At 33.8% G+C, this 26,422-nt stretch overlaps 1 long non-coding RNA gene across 1 annotated transcript in view; it reads right to left on the bottom strand.

Moving 5' to 3' along the window:
- Positions 1–1,093: 1,093 nt before the first annotated feature.
- The window catches only part of LOC107985508 (uncharacterized), a 193,177-nt gene continuing 167,848 nt past the window's right edge, over positions 1,094–26,422 (bottom strand). Inside the window, exons 3-4 of the long non-coding RNA XR_007067937.1 lie at positions 4,232–4,296; positions 1,094–1,255 (exon numbers count right to left, since the gene is read on the bottom strand). This is a non-coding gene — a long non-coding RNA (uncharacterized LOC107985508). The remainder of the gene's footprint in view (positions 1,256–4,231; positions 4,297–26,422) is intronic.

The following is a 26,422-nucleotide window of genomic DNA, read 5'->3' as shown; positions in this document are numbered from 1 at the left end:
TTGCTCCATTCATAATAAATCTCACTTCTCACCCTTCGTTATCCAAATATCCTTGTCCTTTGATATGTATGTTTACCAGTTATATACTTACAATTAATGCACTACTGATTCACACCTAACTGGTAAAATACATGATCTATTGCCTTATCTCCAAGTGACTATTGAATGTACATGAACCATGGATATGTGAATGTAAAATAGACAGGCTTTATTTGAGGCAGCTGCTACATCTGATAAAGGGGCAGTGTGATCTGTTTAAAAGCAGTTAACTGATGGATAGATTTCACCTAGGATATTAGGAACCATTTCTGACTGTCACTCAAACTAGGAAGTGTATTTTGTTGTATCCCAAAGCCAGTAAGACTCAGTAATAATGTCAAGGTTTTCTAGAACACTTATTGGTAGAAATTTCCATGAAGGTAGGGATCATGTGTGGCTAGAATGATAGCTGGTACATGGCAAATTTGAAGATACCATTTGTTCAAACAAATGTGTGGATTAACAAATGCAGAGATAAATAAGGACAATTATATCTTCAGTATTTTTAAAAACCTCTGCAGTAGGAAAAATGAGCACAAAATGTGAAGTACAAATAAACAAATAAACAAAATGTGAAGTAAAATAAATCAAATCATTCTGTTAAAGGAGGAGGGTGTCCAGGTTCTTGGCATCTTGAACAAAGAATTGGACAAAACACACAAACAAAGCAAGGAAGGGACAAAGGAATTTATTGAAAATGAAAGTACACTCCACAGTGTGTGAGCGGACCTGAGCATAGGAGCTCCAAGGCCACGTTACAGAATTTTTGGGAGTTTAAATACCCCCTAGAGGATTCCACTGGTTATTTCTGGTATGCCCTATGTAAATGGAGAGGATGAAGTAAAGTTACAAAGTTATTTACTCTGTGTATGTCCTATGGAGAGGATATTTCCTCTCATAGCTGAAGTGTAAATCAGCCTTATATGTTCCTTGCCTCCAGACCCTATTTTCCTGCCCCTTTTCCCACCCTCCCGCCAACAGATGTGATCCCCATAAATCCATAAATCTTTATAGGAAGCAGAGGGATCAATGGTCGTCTTTTTCTGTAACTGCTTCATGCTGGCTTGGGGTGTAGTCCTTACCTACTGGGGATCATGGAACTCTCGCCCTGTTCTCTCTAGTGGAGGCAGAGTAGCTTTTTGAAGGCCAGGTGTGTTGTCTTCACCTGGAACTAGCTGGGACTTTTGTTGCATGATCATCTGAAGCTTGATGGTCTCTAGGCCAGAGGAAATGAATTTGGTTAAAAGATTTAATGGGGACTTTAGGGGGTGGATACCTATGCTGTCAGAAATCTGTATTATAGAGATTTGCAGGATTCAGAACAAAACCTGATTTGTTCTAGAATCTATGTGTTTCCTTAAAGTCCTAGCACAAGCAACTCCATTTTGGTTTGGTTTGGTTTGGCTTGGTTTGTTGAGACCTAGTACATGAACTTAGTCCAAAACAACGGCCTCCCAGAATTTTGTTTAAAATATTCTGCCTGGCTGGGCACGGTGGCTCACACCTGTAATCCCAGCACTTTGGGAAGCCAAAGCAGGCAGATCACAAGGTCAGGAGATTGAGACCATCCTGGCTAACATGGTGAAAACCCGTCTCTACTAAAAATACAAAAAATTAGATGGGTATGGTGGCACGCACCTATAGTCCCAGCTACTCAGGAGGCTGAGGTAGGAGAATTGCTTAAACCTGAACCCGGGAGACAGAGGTTGCAGTGATCCAAGATCATGCCACTGCACTTCAGCCTGGGCACCAGAGCAAGACTCCACCTCAGAAAATAAAAAAAAAAAAAAATTCCCCCTTTTTGGTCAGGTTCTCACTTAGATGAGAGTGTACCAAAACTTAGGGCCTTAGAACCACTCTCAGTTACCATCATTTTGGGTTTCTGGTATCAGCACATTATTTATAGGTTATGGTGTCCTCATGGTTGCACATTTCTTTCAGCTCCTGTTATTCCAGTTGAGGAGAGACCATATCACATTCTAGAGATGGCTGCATGCAAGCATTTGAAACCTTTGAGAGAATACAGTGCACCCTGGAGACTATTATTATGACTATTGGGAGAATAATATCAAGAGTTTGGAATATGCTCCTTCCTCAGGATCCCCATAAAACAAACCTCCTAAAATCAAATGGATCAAATAATGAGCTAGATAAAGAATGTACTCACTTGACTAAGCAATTTCTTCATCACTCCTCTACCACTGAATTTCTATAATCTTCATTTGATGTATTTCTCTATAGGCCACAAGTGCCAGCAGCTGCACAGATACTTCTCTGTTTAGCGAATTTTGTCATAACTTTCACAAGAAAATTTAGAGTCTATTCTGTAACTGTAGCCTTTACAGTAGAATCTGCCATAGAGCCTGTCATGAGGGATTAAATTTCTAGTCATTGCATAGTTTACTTTAAACCATGGAAAAAGGACCTAACAAATGATGCCCTTTTAGAAGAGTGAAGGCCTTCTGGCAATGTTCTCTTTAACCCATGATGTGGGTTAAAAGGAGTCAACCAGTGTTTTGCTTTTGACTGATTATGAGGCAACACATGTACCATTAAAGTTTCTTACCAACAGTGGGCCTTCACCTTTTATCTATCAAAGTATAAGGTTACCCATGTATAAGGCAGGCTGCAAACTCATTAACAAATAAAAGTGTGCCCCATAAGTGCACATAACAGACCCTTTTTCCACTTCTATTGTTCTTAGAAGGCATAAGCAAGAAAAAATATTCAAAGATATGAGTTCATGATAGTAGAAGTCTTAATCTGTGAACTTAGGAAGCTGTTCACATCAAGGGTCCTATTCTCTTCTTGGGAGAAATTTCCCTGCTTAGTTTGACCTTAAGGGTTCCAGTGGGTGCATAGCTCCAATAGCATAGAGGGACCCTTCTCAGTCATGAGGTTATGAACCCAAAGTTCAAGGTCCCAAAGTTTTGTTGTAGTGTGGATGGCAAGTATGGTTTTACTCTGATGTTTCCAGAAGATTCAAACCATAAAAAGCTTTCTTTACCTGGTGAAAATATACTGTAGCATAATAATCTACTGTTATAACATCAGTCCTCCTGTGTGGGAAAGCTTTTATACAACCAGAAAGCATGCATTGAATTAATTGTCTTCCCAGGAATATGGGACCAAGCATTGGTTATAAACTATTTTAAACAATTTCAGTTTCAACTGGTTTAACATGAAAATCTGACAAAGTATTTTCTTGGTATTTAATTAATTTTGTTCTACTTGAGTTAGTAGTTTTATACAAGGAAATTTATTTTTTTCTGTGGTTTACAATAACATAATAACTATAATTGTGATTGGTAGCATACACTTAGACATTAGAATTTTAGAAATCCCATACAATTTTGGAATATATTCACAAAAACATAGCCTAAAGAAGATTGAACATCATTTTGGCAATCCTACGTACCTAAACATGTCAAATAATCCTGTTTACCTCCTTTCTGGATGTTTTCAGGGGCCCTCTGATCCATCCAGAAACTCAGGCATTAGGAAAGATAATTTTGAGGCTTAAGTTTGATTTTGGAATTCTAGATTACCATAAATTATTTCTTTTGCCAAAATGATGAGTCCAAAATTTTAAAGAATCAAAAACCTTTTATAACCTTTAAACAACAACATAAAAAATCACATTCTACTGTTTTTGCACACCTTACATTTAAAACTGTTTCTAGCAGTCTCAATTGCATATTATAATAGTGAGTCTTAGCAATTTTAACTTTAATGTAAAAATCTGGTAAGTTATGTTCTAATAAGGTTTGACTGCTTCCAGCATAGCTAGGGAGTGGCCAGCTCCACATGTCCCCAGGCCTTACCCAGCTGGAATGCAGGCAAGTTAAACAATTTTCAAAAACCAAAGAAGCAGTTTATGATCTTAAAGCTTTTAGCAAACCTAATGTTTGAACATAACTTACACCACATGTTTACATTTTGAAGACATTGTATTTTACCAATAATCTTTAAAACTGTCTTTATTTGCCAACGATTACTCAAGTCACATGAACAAAATAAAAGGCATTATGTTTTTCACATTTCTGATGAAACATTTGATTTAAGCTCTTATTATTATTAAACAAATTAAGTCAAAACTTTACAGAGGAGACAAACAGTGATTTTTATCTTTAATGTAACCAGTTTGCACAGAAAGAAAGAGGCCAGAGACTGACTGGCAAGAAATTCTTACCCTTTTGCCAGCATGCCAGGTTTCTAGGTTCTCTCTCCCTGAGCAGCCTTAGGGATCATGCTTGACTGTATGTAAACAAACACATTGCCATGAATTAAGAATATTTATAAATAGTTTACAATTTTGGAGAAACTAGGCAGAGAGAAAGAAATATGACTCAAATTCTATTTATGAGAGTATAGTCAGCATACTTAAAATACCAGGAAGCCTAAAATTCAAAAAGTTAGTTTATAAGAATAAAAAGCTGGTGTGCTCCATTAATCCTGTGACCTGACAAAGGTAGCTTAGGAATTCCAGATAAGTGGAATGAATATGACTTGCTAGAAATGCATTGGAAACAAAATAACTATTCACAAAACCAAATAAAAGCCTTCCATTAGAAAATAAAAAGCATCATGATTTATATATATGGATAGTCAATCAAAGCCAGAGGAGAATAAACAGCAAATGAATGAAAACTAGAAGCAAAAACAATTAAGGAGGAAACCAAATCTAAATTTTCCTACTCTATTTACCCTGGTGGTTACAGCGTCACTTAGGGCCCCCAAAAACCCACATAATGAATATTTTATTCCTGACACACAATTCAATATCCTTAAGTTCACCAATATCATTATACATTCTGTGAAATTCAGAAATTCACTTTAGGCACATGACCAATAAGTACTCTAGCACTATCCACGCAAAACTGTAAACATAGTGTGAAGCAATGCAATGTATGTGAAATTTGACTTTATGCTAAATCCAGCTCCATGCTTAACTATATTTTTTAAAAACTGCCAAACTGCCAATGCATTTTTACAATACTTTTAACTTTATTCAAGACTAAGAGCTTTAACTATGAAAATGATAGACAAATGTTTCCAATTCTTTATCGGGTTTTAAATAATATTTTATTATTTAAAGTTTTTCCATATCTTTCTCCCCTACTTAATGGTTTCTTACTACACTGTTTCATAAATAACCTTTTCAAATCTGTAATTTGAACTTACTTTTAGATAATTTTGGAATTAGATAAAATTATTCTTTTTCCACTAATAATACAACCCTTTCTGGCACATTTCCTATACAGAATTACATGTTAACTAGAATTTTATCCTTAGTAAACTAAAACTATACTGAAACTCTAAAAAGCAAGAAATCCTGAGCTATCAGATATGGACATTTATAGATAAGGACAATTCCACAATTTTTGGAAACATATTTTTCTATATTACAACATTTTCTTTATTGGAAATGACTCAGATATTAAATGAGCATCAAAAACAACTTTAAGATTTTAATTTACACAAAAACATTACCTAAACAATTATTCTATTCACTGTACTTAATTTTTTACTTTTTACAAGGAAGACATGAGACATCCATCAACATAGGTAAAATGAACATTGGTTTGGTCTGGAAAGGTGGGACAGCTCGAGGTGAGGAGGGGGCTTGTGGGCTTTCAGATCACAGGTGGGAGAAAAATGGTTGCATTCTTTCTAGTTTCTGATTAGCTTTTCCAAAGGAAGCAATCAGATATGAATTTATCTCAGTCATTTTGAACAGAATGGGAGGCAGGCTTACCCCAAGCAGCTCCTCCCTTGAATTAACACTGATATTTAAAAATATCTAGCAAAGACAAACATAAAATTCAGACAAAATGTATGCTGACAATTCTGAAGGCATTTCTATTTTTATTCCACCAATAATTGTAAAGCTAGATTGTTTAGTAAAGTGATACTTTAAGTCATCTAAACTTGTAAATTGCTTAGACTTATTTACTTAATTTATGAGTGCTCTTTTACTTATAAGCCAATTTTGGTAGACATGACATATAACAATAAGCGTACATACAAATAAACACATATAGATGTGTATACACACACACACAAATGAAAATACAATAGCTTGGCACCTTAGTCATGAGATAGCAATACAAGCTTGCCCGTATTACTTTGCCCCAACAGATAATCTAATGAAGGCTGTGAACCAAGATTTTGGGTAAAGCAGTCTTCATGACAGTTTGATTTTTTTTTTTTTTTTGAGACGGAATTTCACTCTTGTTGCCCGGGCTGGAGTGCAATGGCGCAATCTCAGCTCACCATAACCTCTGCCTCCCAGGTTCAAGCTATTCTTCTGCCTCAGCCTCCCGAGTAGCTTGGATTACAAGCATATGCCACCACGCCTGGCTAATTTTGTACTTTTTTTTTTTTTTTTTTTTTTTTTTTTTTTTTAGTAGAGACAGGGTTTCTCCATGTTGGTCAGGCTGGTCTCGAACTCCCGACCTTAGGTGATCCTCTCACCTCGGCCTCCAAAAGTGCTGGGATTACAGGCGTGAGCCACCACGCCTGGCTGACAGTTTGATTTTTAAAGGTCAAATCTCCCCAGACTTCAAAGAGCACTGGGACCAAACCCTACCAAAGGAGGATGTCACACATTAACCAAGCGCCCTGGTTAGAAACACAGCACAAAAGCCTGGACACATGCAACACCATTCCACTTTCCCATTAGAAAGTAAACTCCAGATTCCAAACACTGTTGGGGCCAAGCAGCACTGCAACTGTGAGAGAAAATTCTAAGGGGGTTTAATACTAGACCTCAGATCCTCTGCCAAGAGTGTTAGGAGTGGAGTGGTTAGGGTCCCCAGGATCCACAGAGCATCCTCCTGTGGGGTCCAGTCTTAGAGTGCCAAACGTCTCTGACCTCAGGTGGGCACCACATGCAGGTTCTCCCCTCTGGAGGATACAATGAGCTTTATAAGAGTGGCCATGAACTGTAATGAGAACTGGATGCTGGGTGGGCCTTTTTGTTCCTTAGCCAGTTGAATACAATAAGGGAAGAATTTAGCATAAGAAAAGAAGGTTTAAGTCCCCTGAAACATGTGCAAGTTTGCTCGGAGCTGCATCCCATGTAGGGATCAGGGACCATGTACAGAAAAGATTAAAAAATACAAGTCCTTTCCCCTTTGGGGCAGGGCAATTATTCCCATTCATTTCCTAGGCCTTCAAGCAGTACTGAGGAGTGACCCCAGGCAATTGCCCTCAATTTCCAAGGAGCTACTAGGAAGCTGCTGCTGAAAGACTGAAAAAGAAAGAGGAAAAAAAAGAAAAAGAAAAAAGACGTGGAAAAAAAACCCAGGTTTCTTAAGCGAACTGGGCGGTGGTGGTCAGGCTTCTCCACATGGAACCCCCTTAGGTTTACTGGCCACAGCCAGAAACCTGCATTTGCTTCCATGTTTAGGATCTGACTACTAAGGGTCCTGGGTTGGAAAGGAAAAGGGAGAAAGATTCCCTTGTATGGAGCAGAAAGAAAAAGAAGAAAGGAGAAGAATAAATCCCAAACTTTGGGCTTACCTCTGCCTCCAGGCTGGTTCACCAAACTATGTTAAAGGTGGTTCGTGTCGAGGTTCTTGGTGTCTTGAACAAAGAATTGGACAAAACGCACAAAGCAAGGAAGGGACAAAGGAATTTATTGAAAGTGAAAGTACACTCCACAGTGTGGGAGAGGGCCCAAGCATAGGAGCTCAAAGGCCCTATTAAGGAATTTTTAGGAGTTTAAAATACCCCCTAAAGGATTTCATTGGTTGCTTCGAGTATGCCCGCTGTAAATGGAGAGGACAAAGTAAAGTTACAGTCATTTACTCGGTGTCTGCCCTATGGAGAGGATATTTCCTGTCATAGCTGAAGTGTAAATCAGCCTTATGTTCCCTGCCTCCAGACCCTATTTTCCTGCCTCAGTTCTGCAAGTGTGTGTACGCGTGTGTATGTGGGCACGTGGGAGTGTTCATTACCACATAGTCCACTAATACCTAATCCGTGTCCTCCTGATTAAGACTATACTGTTTACAAACGTTCCTATGCTGCCACCTTTGTCCTGTTTGTTTCTACTTGCTTTCATCTATTTACAGTTGATCATTTTAGTTCTATTTTAAATTTTGTAGTTTCTTTCAAGGGATTAGTGAAATTATATATACATTCATGACCATACCTGTAGTAGGCTCCAAAAGAAGTAAACTTAATTTTTTTTCTTTTTTTTAAAATTTTATTATTATTATACTTTAAGTTTTAGGGTACATGTGCACAATGTGCAGGTTTGTTACACATGTATACATGTGCCATGTCGGTGTGCTGCACTCATTAACTCGTCATTTAGCATTAGGTATATCTCCTAATGCTATCCCTCCCCCTTCCCCCCACCCCACAACAGGCCCCAGTGTGTGATATTCCCCTTCCTGTGTCCATGTGCTCTCATTGTTCAATTAAAAAAAAAAGAAAAAAAGAAGTAAACTTAAAAAGAAGTTTGAGTTTCTTTCAATATTGACATATAATACAATAAACACCATAAATGACTTGTATCTCTTATCAACTTTTATTATATCCACTCTCCCAATCTTCTTATTGATTTATTTAGCTATAGAATTATTTTTCAAAAATTTTTATATGCATACTAAAAAATGCCTTACCCTTCTGTATTAAAGGTTAATGATGTTTTCATTAATAATCATATGAAATTACCAATTGTTGTATTTATTGTTTGGAATAAATGTGCAACAAAATTGATTAAAATAAATTGTTGTGTTATAAATATAAAGCCTATAGAGAAAGTAAAACAAACAGTGTGGTTTAAATTATATTCAAAGCCAAAACTAATGTAGATTTTTTTTTTAGTAATTTCATTTTTATATATTCAAAGAGACATGCATTATTTGTTATCTTAATGGCCTCTCTGGAACACTGTGAATCATTGTCTATCCCTATTAAATCTATTTTCACTTAGTGTATTCTCTTACTCTTACAGAAATTGATGGCTAAGATTAAGAACTGAATAACAGCATTTGGTGGATATATTAGATTCAGTGAAGAGAGGTCAAGACTGTTTAATAAGCAATAGAAACAAAGAAAATAAATCCACAATCCAAGGTTAAAGGAAGCTGGGAAGAAACAATATTTGCTTGGTATTAAATGATCAAATGAGGAAAGTTACTGACAACAATAATCTAATCTATTTGCTTACTAATTCATATCATTTTACTCCTAATAAAAATAGTGAAATTATTTCTTAAAACTACATTTTATTTTAGAACAATTTTGGATCTACAGAATTATTGAGAAGACAGTACAGGAAGTTTCTGTATAATCTACCCTTAGTTACCCCTATTAATTTATTATATTACAGTAGTATATTTGTAAAAATGAACCGAGATTCATATATTTTGATTACAGAATATATTTTACTGGGGTTTTCCTGTTTTTTCATAATGTCCGTTTGTTTTTGTTGTTTCAGGATTCCATCCAGAATATGATACTACATTTAGCTATTAGGTCTTCTTAGCTTCCTCTCAGCTGTGACAGTTTCTGAGACTTTCCTTGTTTTGTATGATATTTAAAGTTGCAAGGAGTACTGGTCAGGTATTTTGCAGAACAGCCTTCAATTGGCACTTAGTTAATTTTTTTTCTCATGATTAGACTGAAGTAATGTCTTTTTTGGGAGGTGTAAAGTGCCATTCTTATCACATCATATCAAGCATATGCACCATAAATATTATGTATCACTTTTCATGTTGACCTCAATCTCCTGGTAGAGATAGTGTTTGGCAGGTTTCTCCAATGTTAAGTTACTCTGTTCCTCCTTCCCTACATAGAAGGCATTATATACTGCCCACACTTAAAAAGTGAAGAATCATGTTCCACTTCGATAAGAGCAGAGTATCTACATTTATTATTTGGAATTCGTCTACTCAAATGATTGGTCTATTCTCTTCCATTTATTTATTTATTCCATCATTTACTTATTTTAGTATGGACTCATGGAAAATTATTCTATAATTTGGGTTATAACTAAGTACAATTTTACATATTTCCTGTTATAATTGTTCCATATTTTGTCAATGGGAGTTTTTTTTTTTTATTCCTGGGGCCCTTTGACATACTCCATCACTGTGAGGGTTTTTTTTTTTTTTTTTAATTTTTTGTCACTTTCTGACACTACAAAAACTTGATATCTTGTCTTGTATATTTTCTACCCCAGCCCTAGATTCAGCAATTGTTCCAATGATTCCTCATTCGTTTTATTAGTCAATGGTATTAGAAGTGAAGATCTGTATGCTGGTTGTGCTCATTTCTATGGGAGTGCTGTATATACATATCTATAAATGTTTTTATGTGGAACGATCTGTATCAATATTAAGCTAAAAAGAGTTTATGCTGATGTCTTCAACTCTAACCCATTAACATATAATTCATTTTAGCCTCTATAACATGTTTTCTGTGACTTCCCATTTCAACAATGATGAAATTTGTCTCTATCATTCACCATCTATTTACATAATTTTTCAGTTTTAGTATATATGTATTTGTGGTTTCAGAATAGTTAACCAATACTTCAATGGAAAACAGCACTATTCAACTCTTCTGGGTCCCTTTAGTATTACAGAGTTCATGCATTTCCAAAGTTGCTTAAGTCATCACTTTATTGTTCCACCCCTTTAGTGAGGTTATTTCATTCATTTGTAATACATTTAGATTATTGTCACATTCTTCATTCCATCTTAAAATTCCCAGCATTTAAATAAATTTTTAAAAATGTGTATTCATTAAAGTTAAACTGCAAAGTTCTATAGGTTTTGACAAATGCTTGTGGTCATGAATTCATCATTACAATGTCATATTGAATAGTTTTTCTGCTCTAGGAAATCTCCTATGCTTCAACTATTCATCTTCCTCCTGATTGTGACAGAACCACTGATGTGTTTACTGACTCGATAGTTTTGTCTTTTCCTGAAATTCGTGTAATTGAATTTGGCACTGTGCAGCTTTTTTAGACTGGCATCTCTCACTTAGCAATATGGAGTTATGTTTTGTAATGTCTTTTATGATTTGAAGCATATCTCTCTTTATCACTAAATCAAATTCCATTATATGGATGTACTATGATTTGTTATCCATTCACATATCAATGGATACCTTGGTTGCTTCCCATTTTTGGCAAATACAAATAAGTTGCCAAAAATCCTGTGTCTAGGTTTTCTGTCAACCTAAGTATTCAATCAACTCAGTTGGGTAAATGTCAAGGAGCCTAATTGTTGAGTTGTAAGAAAATGCTGTGTTCCCGTATAAGTGTATCATTTTGCATTTCCTCCAGATGAATCAGAGTTCCTGTTTCATGTATTATTGTCAGCATTTGGTATCGTTAGCCTTTGGGTTTTAGTGATTCTGATTCTAATAGATATATGGTGGTATTTCATTGTAGCTTTAATTTACATTTTTCTGTTAACAAATGGTCCTGAGCATCTTCTCATTTAATTATTTTAAATCCATATATTTTGGTGTGTTTGTTCAGACTTTTGCCCATTTTAAATATTATTTTTTCTTATTGTTGAGTTCAATTTTAAAAATACTTTATATACAAGTATGTTTTCAAATCTGCACTTGTAAATATTTTCTGTCAGTCTGTTCATTCATTTTCTTTATTCTCATAAAAGTCTTTTGCAGTGCAGAATTTTTACATTTAAAAAAGTCAAACAATAATTGTTATTTGACAGATCATGCCATTGGTGTTGTAATTAAAGCTCATTTTCAAACTAAAGGTCATATATATTTTATGTTTACTCATGAAATTCTATAATTTTATATTTTACATTTACATTTACATTTAGGCCTATGAGTCATTTTGAGTTAATTTTTGTAAAAGGTGTAATGTTTATATCTAAGTTCATTTTTAGCATTTAAATGTTCAATTGTTTCAATTTGTTTAAAAGATCATTCTTTTTCACTAAATTGCCTTTACTCTTTTGTCAAAGATCTGTTGACTATATGAGAGTCTATTTGTATTCTCCTTGATGTAGTCCATTACTCTATGTGCCTATTCTTTGGTCAATATGATGCTATTGAAATTTGATATGGTGAGTCCTCCAGGTTTGGTTTTCTTCCTTAGCATTGTGTTAGATATTACAGGTCTTTGCCTTCTTATATACATTAAGAATCAATTTTTCAATACTCACAAAATTGCTTACTGGTATTTTGACTGATATTGCAGTCAATACAGATTAGATTGGGAAGAACTGACATCTTGTCAATAGGTAAGTCGCTCAATCTACAAATACAGAATATCTTTCCATTTATTTACATATTCTTTTTTTTCTTTAGTGTTTTACACTTTTCTGCATGTAGGTTCTATACATTTGTGTTATATGTGTACATAATCACTTCATTTTGGTGTGTGATTTTGAAAATGACACTGATTTTTCCCTTTAATTTCAAATTCCAATAGTTGATTTCTGATGTATGGGAAAGCAACTGATTTTTATATACTAGTGATGTATCATGCAAATACTATGCCCATTTTAACTGATTCCTAGTAATTTTCTACTTAGACTATGATGTTACTGAAAATAGAGACAATTTTTTTATTTTTTATTTTTTCATTTTTTAATTTTGCTTTAAGTTCTGGGGTACATGTGCAGAATATGCTGGTTTGTTACGTAGGTGTACACGTGTCATGGTGGTTTGCTGCACCCATCAACCTGTCATCTAGGTTTTAAGCTCCATATGCATTAGGTATTTGTCCTTATGCTCTCCCTGCCCTTCCTCCCCAACCCCCACCTCCCAACAGGCCCTGGTGTGTGTTGTGTTGTTCCCCTCTCTGTGTCCATGTGTTCTCATTGTTCAACTCCCACTTATGAGTGAGAACATGCGGTGTTTTTTTTATTTTTTTGAGACGGAGTCTCCATCTGTCACCCAGGCTGGAGTGCAGTGGTATGATCTCGGCTCACTGCAACCTCCACCTCCCGGATTCAAGCAATTCTCCTGCCTCAGCCTTTTGCTGGGATTACAGGCACGTGCCACCACTCCCTGCTGATTTTTTGTATTTTTAGTAGAGACAGGGTTTCACAATGTTGGTTAGGCTGGTCTGGTACTCTTGACCTCGTGATCAGCCCACCCCTGCTTCCCAAAGTGCTGGGATGACAGAAGTGAGCCACTGCACCTGGCCTGATTATATGTATATAATATATATATATAATTATATATATATATTATATATATATAATTATATATATATATTATATATATAATTATATATATAATATAATATATAATTATATATACAAAATATATATAATTATATATGTATAATATAATATATAATATAAAATTATTATATATATATATAAAATAATTTTCCGGTATATGTTATCGAAACATTTTTTCTGTTGTTTGTCTTTTATTTTTAGCAATGTTCTTAAGTTTTTTACTTTTGTGAAGTACAAATTATTGATTTTCTTTTCTGTTTTGTGAATTTTATGTCCTATATTTTAAAAAGTTGCCAAATTGAAGTTGAAAAATATTTTCTCCCATGTTTTCATCCAGATGTTTTATAGTTTTCATTGTATGTATAGCTGTATCTATGATACATTCCAGTTAATATTGTATTCAATTGTAAGGTGTACATTGAGATGATTTTTTTACTTATGGCTATAAGATTATTTTATAACTTTTTTAAAATAAATCAATTCTTTTTTATTGAATTGTCTTGACCTTTGTTGACAATCAATTCATTAATTATGAGTATGTTACTTTCTGGTATATGTTACATTTCTGTTACCCATATGTCTATGCTTTAGCCATTATGACACAATCTTAATAATTAGTTAATAAGTACAAAAAATCATATGGGCTTTTTGACTTTTTTTAATCAAAATTATTTGGCAATCCTACTTGTTTCTACTTACATTTTTTAAAGCGTCTTGCTTTTAACAAAGACTACTGAGATATTTTATTGCCTTGCATTTGTAATTTATTTTATTTTTGCAATAATATGCACATTTTTTAAAAAACAGATTGATGAGTTTTGACACATGTTGGTAGTAAACACATACATTGCAATGAGAAGGCAAGCACTGGTCTGCTTTCTGTCATTATAAATTAGATTGTATTTTCTAGAATTTTATATAATGAAATTGTACTGGATATGCTTTCCTTGTAATTTTTTAAAATAAAAACAAACATAATTATTTTGAGATTTATCGTCGTCGTTTTTATTCGTCCATTCTGTTTCTTTGCTGAGTAGTATTACATTGCACTGGTAAAAAAATTTTTGGATGCTTCCAGGTTTTAGCTTTTACATATAACACAGCAATGAACCAAAGCTTTGAATGAACATATGTATTTCTTTCTCTTGAGTAAATATATAGGAATGTAATGGCCAGGTGATTTGGTAAGTGGATGCTTAAATTTCTATGTAACTGTAAAATTGCTATCCAAAGTGTTTATGCAATCATACACAAAATGTATGAATGTTATAATGGTTCCATGTCCTCACCGGCAGTTAGTAAAGAGCATCGTTTTACACTTTTACCATTCTATGGGGTGTGTAATGATGACACATTGCTATTTTTTTAGCTTTGCTATTTTTTAGACTTTGAGTTTTCTTTTTAATTCCAAAAATTGGAGTTTTTTTACATGATTACTTGACCTCTATGTATTTCATATGATAAAGTTCCCATTCAATTGCTGGCTAGGGTTTATATTTAGATTTCCTTGATTTGATGAGGTTTTATGACTTCTCATTGAGGTGCAAAAATTTTAAAATGTATTCTAGGTACAGGTCTCATATAATATATATATTTTGCAAATGCTTTCTCCCATTCTGTAAGAATTCTGTTCTCAATGAAGATACTTTTCTTTTTAAATGTAGGAAATACATAACTTCATTTCATTTAAACAAAAACTGGGAGGACTGCTTACTACAGGATATGAAATATTCTGGAAGAAGAAATATGAACAAGGTCAGCTTGGGCAACATAGTGAGACCGTGTCTCTACAAAATAAATAAATAAATAAATTAGAAGTTTTAAAATAGCCAGTTGTGTGGGTATGTGCCTATATAATTCCAGATAATCCAGAGGCTGACATGATGGGATTACCTGCACATGCCACCACATCTGGCTATTTTCTGACCATGCAATACTCATGTTGTATTAGTAGGCTAGAATATAAGTAGACAAAACATTATTTTATTGTAGCATCAGAAAACATAAGTGTCAATTCCAAACCATCTCTCTCCAGTCCAAAGTTCCACAGATCTCCAGAGCTGGGGCAAAATGCTGCCAGTCTCTTTTTCTAAAGAATAACAAGAATGATCTTTGCTCTAGTTCCCAAGAAGTTTCTCATCTCCTTCTGAGACCACCTTAGCCTGAACTTTCTTGTCAATATCACTATTAGCATTTTGGTCAAAACCATTCAATAAGTCTCTAGGAAGTTCCAAACTTTCCCATATTTTTCTGTATTCTTCTGAGCCCTCCAAACTGTTCCAACCTCTGTCTGTTACCTAGTTCCAAAGTCGCTTCCACATTTTGGGGTATCCTTATAGCAGTACCCCACTCTACCGCTACCAACATCTGTATTAGTTAGGGTTCTCTAGAGGGACAGGATTAATAGGATAGATTTATATATGAAAGGGAATTTATTAAGGAGTGTTGACTCTCACGATCACAAGGTGAAGTCCCACCATAGGCCATCTGCAAGCTGAGGAGCAAGGAAGCCAGTCTGAGTCCCCAAACCTCAAGAGTAGGGATGTTAACAGTGCAGCCTTCAGTCTGTGGCCAAAGGCCTGAGAGCCCTTGGTAAACCACTGGTGTAAGTCCAAGATTCCAAAGGTGAAGAACTTGGAGTCCAATGTTTGAGAGCAGGAAGCACCCAGCATGGGAGAAAGATGAAGGCCGGAATACTCAGCCAGTCTAGTTTTTCCACGTTCGTCTGTCTGCTTTTACCCTAGCCTTGCTGGCAGCTGACTAGATGGCGCCCACCTAGACTGAGGCTGGGTCTGCCTCTCCCAGTGCACTGACTCAAATGTTAATCTCCTTTGGCAACATTATCACAGACACACCAGGAATAATACTTTGCGTCCTTCAATCCAATCAAGCTGACAATATTAACTATCACCTAGGGTAATCTAAGTTGTCAATATATGAGGCGAAAACATATATTTTAAAAAAACTTATATAATGGAGCTAGAGAATATTGTAGAATATTGTAGAGAATGTTGTAAAGGTGGTTTATTATGCTATCTGATTATATTAGTATAACTGTGTTGACGTACTTATTAATTGAATTTCTGGTATTTATTCTAATGGAGAATGTTTCACAGAAAATGCTATTCTGAATGTGCAATACATTTGGTCAAACAATAAAGGTGACAATAAAATATTTTGTTCTGAATTTTAAAAGGTCATGATATTTTTAAAGAATTCAAGATAAAATTTTTGGATAAATATTTTCCCAAAAAACCAGGTAAATGATACTGCACACATATACTTACAAGTATCCTAAATCATATCAGCAGGTTTCTTTTGAAACTATTCCCTGTCAAAGATGAATATTTTTCTAAACAATAATAATAATACAGTTTAACTTAACATACAATTTTTATGTCAATGGTTTTTTAATATATTTGCAGAATGTCAAAATACTTTCAAAAGTAGCTGAAGCTGTGTGAGATTTAATGACCATAATTTCCTGTCTGCACTTTTAACAGTTATACTTTTTGAAACTTTTGAGTATATTCACAGTTGTGTTCTCAGTAAAATTGAATATGTTGAGTTGATTGAATGTCCAGAGGAACCAATTAAAGGCGGGATATTAATATTAACAGGAATGTTACATAAATGATAAAAATGACTTATTTCCTATTATTTCACATTGGAGGATAGATTGCTTTCTCTCCAGAGCTAAAAGCTTTAATTTTTTTTATTTATTGAGTTTTCTTTAAAAGTGAGAATAGAATAACTCTACATGTAATCATCGTAGTTGGAAGTAGAAGAAAATGAACCCTCTATAACGTCATATTTAAGCGATCCATCTTTTAGAATCATGCAGAGAGAGGTTGCCAATGAAAATGCAGTGGAGCTGTACACTGGAACCAACATTTACTTCAGAAAGTAACATTTCCTGATTATGCATGAGCGATTCTGTAGAAGAAATCACATAAAGGGGATTATTCTACCTAATTATGCTGTTTAGGTTTTCTATTTGAAATGTCTGATATCATTGGTCTTTCAGAGGAGGAGACAATGCAATATATAGTATAAATACAAATGTATGTATTTACATAGTTTTAAAAAATGTTTAGTTTTGACACATAAACATTTGTAATTCAAAATAACCATAAAAAAGAAAAAAGTGAGACAAGTAATGCTAGGAAGGTGTGTAATAGATATTTAAATATGTTTCTAAAAGCTGAACTAAATATTTAATGAATTAATAGGCTGACAATTTCCACCTTGTACTCTTGACCTCAATACACTTATGATTTAATGGAATCAAGAAAATTGATTACTGACCATGGTTTATTTTTAGATTATAACAGAAAACCATATTTCCCTAAGTTATTATATTACAAGCCTGAGATGTCATTGGTCCACTATAAAAATTTAAAATATTAATTCATTAAAATAAGGAAAAACTTAAAGAACTGAAAAGTCCTTTAAAATGACATTAAAATAATATTAGACTAATATGAAATGAAATAAACTAGGAAAATTCTCATTATTAGCACTAAAATATAATTAATTTTATACCTATGGTATATTTCTTTTATAATTCAATATTCTTTGTAATAATTTCTATTAAAATGATCAAAGTATGGCAAATTATTTTTCTCTTAATTTTTTTTCCTATTAGATGTAAACATCCTTCAGTTATGTTTCATGACTCTATGTGACTTACTACTCCATGGGCCAGCTGGATTTCTCTTCCATCAATAACCAACATCTGTGGTTACAATTAGTGTAGCTAGAATGGTTCTCAGAAAAGTCTAAACATATTGATTTGACTATATCTTCCCAATTTTACAATGATCTATTCTAAAAAATAATAAAATTACACACACACACACACACACACACACACACACACACACACACAAACAACCTTAGAATAATTACTGCTTTTCCTCTGCAGAAAGTGGTCTAAACTTCAGTCTGGCCAACATAGTGAGACCCCGTCTCTACTAAAAATAGAAAAAAATTATCTGGGTGTAGTGGTGTGCACCTGTAATCCCAGCTCCTCGGGAGGCTGAGGCAGGAGAATCGCGTGAACCTGGGAGGCGGGGTTGCAGTAGGCAGAGATCGTGCCATTGCACTCCAGCCCAGGTGACGGTGTAAGACTCTGTCTCAAAGAAAAAAAAAAAAAAGAGAAAGAAAAAGAAAAAGAAAGTGGTCTAAACTTATTATCTAATAAGATGTTTCTGGGGTTTTAAGTAAACATTTCTAGTTACAAAATCCAGATAATCCTATCAACACGGTGGTGCCGATATCTTTATAAGGTGGTGGCATCATTTGGGGGAGTATAGATGCCCAGAAGAGGAATTATCGAGTAATACAATAGTTCCATTATACTTTATTTAGAAACCTCTATACTATTTTCCATAATAGCTATATCAATCTCCATTTCTCCAATGAATATCTATTGACCGTTTTTATTTCTTTTTCAGAGAAGTATCTATTCGGATCTTTTCCCTATTTTTAAACCAATTTTTTTTCCAATTGAGTTTTATGAGTTCTTTATACATTTTGAATAGTAACCCGTTATCAGAAACATGGTTCACAAATATTTTGTCCCAAACCTTAGGCCATTTCATCTTGTTGATTGTTTTCCTTGCCATGTAGAACCTTGTCAGTCTGATGTAGTTCTATGTATTTATTGTTCCTTTTGTGGCCTGAGCTTTTGTGTGATATTCACAATATCATTGCCAGGGACGACGCCCAGGAGCTTTTTCTCTACGTCCTCTTCTAACTTTATTGTTTCTCATCTTATATTTAAGTCTGTAACCATTCTGAGCTGATTATTGTGTTTGGTGTTAAGATAAAGTGTAAAATTTTAGCCTTTTGCATGTTGAAATCCAGTTTTCTTAGCATTATTTATTAAAGAGGCTATCCTTTCTACTTTTAGCCATCTTGGTGCTCCTGTTGAAAATTAGTTGACCATCTATGTTTAGATTTATTTCTGGGCTCTTTACTCTGTTCCACTTGCCTATGTGTCTGTTTTATGCCGATAGCATATTATTTTGATTACTATAGATTTGTAATATAATTTTAACTTAGGGGGTGCAATGTCTCTAACTTTGTTTTTATTCTTCAGAATTGTTTTGACACTTTGAGGTATTTTTAGGTGCCATACAAATTTTATGATTTTCTTTTCCTATTTCTGTGAAGAATACCATTTGGAATTTGATAGGTATTCCATTGAATATGTATATTTCCTTCAGTAGTGTGAACATTTTACCCATATTAATGCTTCTAATTCATGAGCATGGAATATCTTTCCACTTATTTGTGCCTTATTCAATTTATTTCATTTATGTTTTATACTTTGCAGTTGTACAAATTGTTCACCTCAGATTGTTCACCTATTGGATAAACTTATTCCTAGGTATTTTTTATATTATTGTAAATGAAATTATTCTATTCATTCCTTTTTTAGTTAGATTGTTATTTGAGTATAAAAATGCTGCTGATTTTTGTATGCTGGTGTTTTCTTTTGCAACTTTACTTCATTTATTAGTTTTAGCAGTGTTTTTGTAGAATATTTGTAATTTTTTTTTTTTTTTTTTTTTTTTTTTTTTTTGAGACGGAGTCTCTCTGTGTCTCCCAGGTTGGAGTGCAGTGGCGCGATCTCGGCTCACTGCAAGCTCCGCCTCCCAGGTTCACGCCATTCTCCTGCCTCAGCCTCCCAAGTAGCTGGGACTACAGGCGCCCGCCAACACGCCCGGCTAATTTTTTGTATTTTTAGTAGAAACGGGGTTTCACCGTGTTAGCCAAGATGGTCTCGATCTCCTGACCTCGTGATCCGCCCGTCTCGGCCTCCCAAAGTGCTAGGATTACAGGCGTGAGCCACCGTGCCCGGCCTGTAATTTTTTATTTATAGGATTATGTCATCTGCAAATAGAGATCATTTTACTTCTTCCATACTGATTTAGATGTCTTTTATTCTTTTCTCACCTGAATGCTCTTGCTCTCACTTCCAGAAGCAGAGTACTTTCAGTACTAGACAGAAGTGGCTAGAGTGGTCATACTTGCTTTGTACCAGTTCATAGTGAAAAAGCTTTCAGTTATTCTTCATTGATTATGGTGTTAGCTACTGATTTTTTATAAATGATCTTTACTATGTTGAGGAACTGTTTTATACCTAAGTTTTGAGAGTTTTTATCACAAGAAAACGTTGGAATTTGTTAATTGCTTTTTCTATGTCAATCGAGATGAATTATCTGGCTTTTACTTTTGATTTTGTTAATATGATGCATCACTTTGATTGCTTTGCACATGTTAAACCAACCTTGCAGGCTAGGGATAAATCCCACTTGGTTACAATATAATCTTTTTGACATACTCTTTGATTAAGTTTTCTAATAATTTATTGGGGCTTTTTCATCAGTGATTATCAGACAAACTGACCTGTAGATTTTTGTTTGTTTGTTTGTTTTGTTTGTTTTTTGCAGTATTGTTATCTGGCTTGGCTATCAAGGTGATGCTGGCCTCATAAAATGTGTTTGAAAGTTATTCCCATAGATCTATTTCTTTGAAGTGTTAAAAAAGCATGGGTATCAATTTTTCTTTGAATTCAGCTGTGAAGGCATCTGGTCTAGGGATTTTCTTTTTTTGGAGGTTTTTAATTACTTCTTCAATTTATTTATTTGCTATTGGTCTGTTGAGGCTTTCTATGTATTCCTGACTTAAATCTGGTAAAATGTATTTTTCTAGAAATTTATCTGTTTTCTTTAGATGATACAAAATATCAGCTTATAATCATTCATAATAGTTCTCTGATTTTTTTTATTTCTGATGTGTCTTTTGTAATTTCTTCACTTTCATTTTTGGTATTTATTTAAGTCGTTTATCTCTCTTTTTTTTAGGCCATCTAAGGGCTGGCTAATCTTGTTTATTTTATTAAACTCAGTTATATTGACTCCTTCTATGGTTTTTTTGGTCTCAATTTGACTTATTTACATTTCTATTTTTACTATTTTCTTTTATCTGCAAAATTTGGGATTTGTTTGTTTTTTTCTGTTTCTTAAGTTATAATGTTAGACAGTTTAGTTGGGATCTTTCTTCATTTTTAATGTAGGTATTTATTGCTATTAACTTTCTTCTTAAAACAACTTTTACTGAGCCTCTTAGGTTGTCATATGTTGTGTCTTCACTCTTTTCTGTCTGAAGATATTTTTAGATTTTCTTTTTGATTTATTATTTGACCCATTGATTTTTCAGGAGCATATTGTTTAATTCCCACATAATTATGAATATTTAAGATATCTCCTGTTATTGAGTTCTAGTTTTGTACCATTGTTGTCAGAAAAGATACTACCATATCATTTTATTAAATTTATTAATAAGGAAGTTGTTAACTTACGAGATTTAATGTTCAAGTCAGTATCAAGATGTGAGTATTGTTGCCCACTGGAGAATCTCAGTATGAATTAATATTGACTTTGATCACTTAGCTGAGATTGCATTTGCCAGATTTTTCTGATGTAAAGTGCACCCACTCTTGACTCATTTATATTGTACTTTTTGGAACGAACTCGCTATTTTCATGTCAAAATTGAGAAGTGGAGAGGTTAGTTCCACTTTCTTTTATGGAAGAGTGCCTACATAAATTATTTTAAAATCTTTATGAATGATTTGTCTTACCCTATGCTATTCTAATCCATTATATTTTATTCTATTAATATTCCTTCTTAGTTTTCAATTTATCCAGTGATTTAGTGTTCCATAAATGCCTACTAAATTACATTGGTTGATAGTGTTGTTCAGATCAACTATATATTTACTGATATTTATTTCCTTACTATCAATTATGAAAGTATATTTAAGACATCAATAATAGTGGATTTCGTGTGTTTCTACCTGGAGTTCTATCAGTTTTTTTGTCCACATTCATATTCATCTTCTTTGCTAAATGCTTAGAAAATTAGGATTATTTTTGACTTGCAGAGTTGGTCATTGTTTTATTTATACAATGTCCCTCTTTATCCTTAATAAGTTTTCTTGTTATTAAGTTGGCTTTGTCTGTATGGTTTTCTTTTATTAACATCAGCATGACATATTTTTCTCCAGTTCTTTACTTCAAATCTATAAGATTCTCTATATTTAAAGTGAATTTAATTTGTCTAACATAAAGTTAAGTCTTCTTATTTTATTCACTCTGACAATCTCTGTCTTTAAAATGGTACGTTTAGGCCATTGATATTTAAAGTGATGATCGATACAGTTGGATTAATATACAGTATTCTTTCTATTTGTTAAATTTATAATTTATTACTTAAATTATATAAAATTATAATTTATTATAAAATTATAATTTAATATAAATTTCTCCTACTTTTCTGTCTTCTCTATAATTAATTGAGCATTTTATATTCCCATTTTATTTTCTCATTTTGCACAGTAATTAGGCATCTTTCTAAAATGTTATAAGTACTTGGCTTATAGTTTACAATTGCATTACAATCAACCTTCAAAAAGCACCATACCACTTTATGTATAATACACATAACTTATCACACTATAATCTTAATTCCTCCTTCCCATGTCTTATAAAGTTGTTGACATTATTTTTCATTTATATTTATTCTACAATCAACCATTATATTGTTACTGGTATTACTTTAAATGATCCATTATTTTAGATAAATTAAGAATAAGAAAATATATTTTCCTTATTCCTTCTTTGATGCGTTTCCTTTCATTATGTAGATATGTCTCTAACCTGTGATATTTTTCTCTTGCCAAAAGGAAATATTTCACATTTCTTGAGGAATAGATACTAGGAATAAATTTTCTCAATATTTTACTTGTCTGAGTATGTCTTTATTCTCCTTCACTTTTGAAGGACAATTTCTCTGAATAGATAATTCTAGTTGGTGGAATTTCTCACAAAATACTCTACTCTAATTCTTATTCTTGTTCCTATCAAGCCAAAAAAAAAAAAAAGAAGAAAATCTTAGGTGCTTCACTCTTACTCACAAACATACACTGGCTTGGTTCAACATCTCTCTTTGTTTTTGATTTGCTACAATTGAAATATAATATGCCTAGTTTTGAAGTTTTTTTTTTTTTTTAGTTATTATCGTTGTTATTTTGGTGTTTAATTGGCATGGTATTCTTTGCACTTCAAGGATCTGTGCTGTGTTGTCTGCCACCACTTCTGGAAAGTTTTCAGCCATTATTGCTTCAAATATTTCTTTTTGTCCATTCTCCCTTTCATCTATTTCTGGTACCTTAAAAATGCATACTTTTTACATTTTGAAATTACCGTTTAAATCGTAGAAGCTCTATTTTTTCTATTAACATTTCTCTTTACATTTAGTTCTGGAAGTAAATCTCTTCAGGATCTTCCCAAAAAACAGACTAATAAGATCTGGGATCGACTGACCTACCTACTTACCTACCTACCTACCTACCTATCTAGTCTATCTATTTTGAAAGATACTTGTGATTTATTTTAAGTAATTGACTGATGCAATTGTGAGGACTGGAATGTCTGTTATCTACAGGGCAGGCAGCAGGCAGGAAATTTAGACTGGAGTTGATATTGCAGTTTTGAGTGACAAATTAACAAGGCAGAAAACAGGCAAGAAATTCAGGCAGGATTTCCATGGTACAGTCTTGAGGACAGATTTTTTCCCCCCTGCCAGGAATCCAGTTTTTGCTCATAAGGCCTTCAACTGATGAGATAAGCCCAGTCTCTCCCAACAATATCAAGAATAATCTTCTAAATAAAAAAGTCAACTGATTGTAGATGTTAATCACATCTACAAAATACCTTCAAAGCCGCATCTAGATTAATGTTTGACCAAACAACTAGGTGCTCTAGCTTAGTTAAAGTAGTTGTTGATACATAAAATGTTTTTGATTTCTAGCATTTCCTTTAAAGTATTTCTTAGTCTCTCTATCTCTTCTTGCATTGTCAACCTGTTTTCATGTTCTCTTCTTTTAATAATAATTAAGATATTAGTCATAACTATGTTAAACTTTCTACTTGATAAAGCAAACATTGGTTTTATATCTGAGTCATGTTTTGATGATTGACTTCTTCAGACTATTTTGTTTTATTTTGCCTTTTGGTGTGTCTTCTATTTTGTTGTTATTGTTGTTGCTGTTGAAATCCAGAATTCATTCACTGGGTAATAAGAACTGAATAAATAGCTGTCCAGTTAAAGGTTTGCATTAATATGATTAAAATTTGACCTTTGTTAGTACCTGTACTAGCTATAGGTGCCAGTGGCTTCAAATTTCCCCAGTGTCCTTGTTCTTGTCTTTACTCTCCACTTCCAGCTTTCCTTAGTAGGTTTCCTCAAAGAAAGTTTTTGTCTCAAGGTTTTTCAGGTGTAATTTGCCATATGTACTATTATATTGTAACCCTGTTGATATGCTGGTAAAGTGTGGGAGAAATTTTTCAACAAAATCTATCTTTAATGGGCCTGTGTCCTTGGCTTGTGACATTCACCAGTGTTTCTTCTAATATAACTTTTTGCTTTTCTTTTCTTCAGGCATACAGCAAAACTAGAAGGAACTGGAATAAAATGAAAATGCCTAATTTCTGGGACAAGGCTCTAGTAAAGTCCTGCCTCTGGCAGATGAAATTTGCCATAGAGAAGGTGCTGGACAATACTCAGAAGTATTACTCTTCCCTGCTTCATGCCAGAGCTGCAGAGGAATTTTTATTAAATCTTCACAAGGAAAACTTGATGAGGCCTCTGGAGTCGAAATTCCACAAAACTGTTGGGGTTGTCTAAAAATACAACCCTCAGGACAGTATTTATCTTAATCAATTGTCCTCTCAAGTTCCAATAACCCAACAAAATTCCCATTTAACTGTTCCTACCTGTTCACAGCTTATGATTTCTATTCCTGGGAAGCAATTTTGGGCTGTGATTCTCTGGATTTACCCATTTTCTGCAATTTGGAGTGGTTGTTTGCCCTGTGACCTCTATTCCCTGAAGAGTCTTAGTAAAATCCTTAATTTTAGTTTGTTCTGCTTTTATTTGTTGTAAGGACTTTCTTATAACCCTTGAAAACTGTGATTTCCATGCTATTTACATGCTGGAACTAAAACCTGAAATTCATAGCTTACAGTTATAAGCCACCTAAGCTCCACTAATATTATTAAATATCTTTTCAACTTTCTTGTTAATAAATAGATGTATGTATTACTTTGAATGATTATATAAGTGAGTTACTGACAGCCTTTACGATTAATTTATCCAATATTCTAATAACTTCCAAATTTCAATCTGTTTCTCTGCTATACATTTTATTATATCCTCAGTGTCATTTCTCTTACAATTAATGCATAATTTCAGAATTACATATTCTAAATATGTAAATTCTTCAAGAATATTATTTACAATTGGCAAGATTCATGGCAAACCAAATGTGATAACGGAATGTTAAGACATTGCATTGTTATAGAATAAAATATGGACTGAGCCTTATGAGAATCTAATTCTTGGTTGTTTTTCACTAATTAACTGAATGACCTTAATAAGAAGTGTCAGCTGCTCTGCAGACTGTTTATTTGACCCGTTATGTAAATTGTCTCCAAATGAACTCTTGTCTATTTTGTTAAATTGTCAAAATCTGACAGACACCATATTTAGCCATCAGAAAATAATATTTTAATAGCTTTCTTTTTATTTTCAGTCTACCTTTAGAAAACTTTCAGCCAAATGTTTATGTCTTTTTTTATTTCTTTATTTTGTTGGAGACAGTTTTGCTCTTGTTGCCCTGGCTGGAGTACAATGGTGAGATCATAACTCACTGCAACCTCCGCCTCCCAGGTTCAAGTGATTCTCCTGCCTCAGCCTCTTGAGTAGCTGGGATTACAGGCACCCACCACCACACTCAGCTAATCTCTTGTATTTTTAGTAGAGATGGGGTTTCACTATGTTGGCCAGGCTGGTCTTGAACTCCTGAAGTCAGCTGATCCACCCGCCTTGGCCTCCCAAAGTGCTGGGATTACAGGCGTAAGCCACTGCACCCAGCCCATGTTTATGTAATTTTTATAGAGATTTTAACAATATCTCAAACTCATTTTCATTTAAATTCTCTACTTTTAGATTAAATGAATTTCTTAAACCTTAATGTTAAAAATTATCTTAAAACAATGTTCTCTTTCTAATTCATAGAATTTTTTTCAGAAGATGTAGCAACTC

Source organism: Homo sapiens, chromosome 21 (assembly GCF_000001405.40).
Source record: "Homo sapiens chromosome 21, GRCh38.p14 Primary Assembly".
NCBI classification, from domain to species: domain Eukaryota; kingdom Metazoa; phylum Chordata; class Mammalia; order Primates; family Hominidae; genus Homo; species Homo sapiens.
The sequence above is the reverse complement of the archived record's forward strand: the minus strand, read 5'-3'. Positions and strand labels throughout refer to the sequence as shown.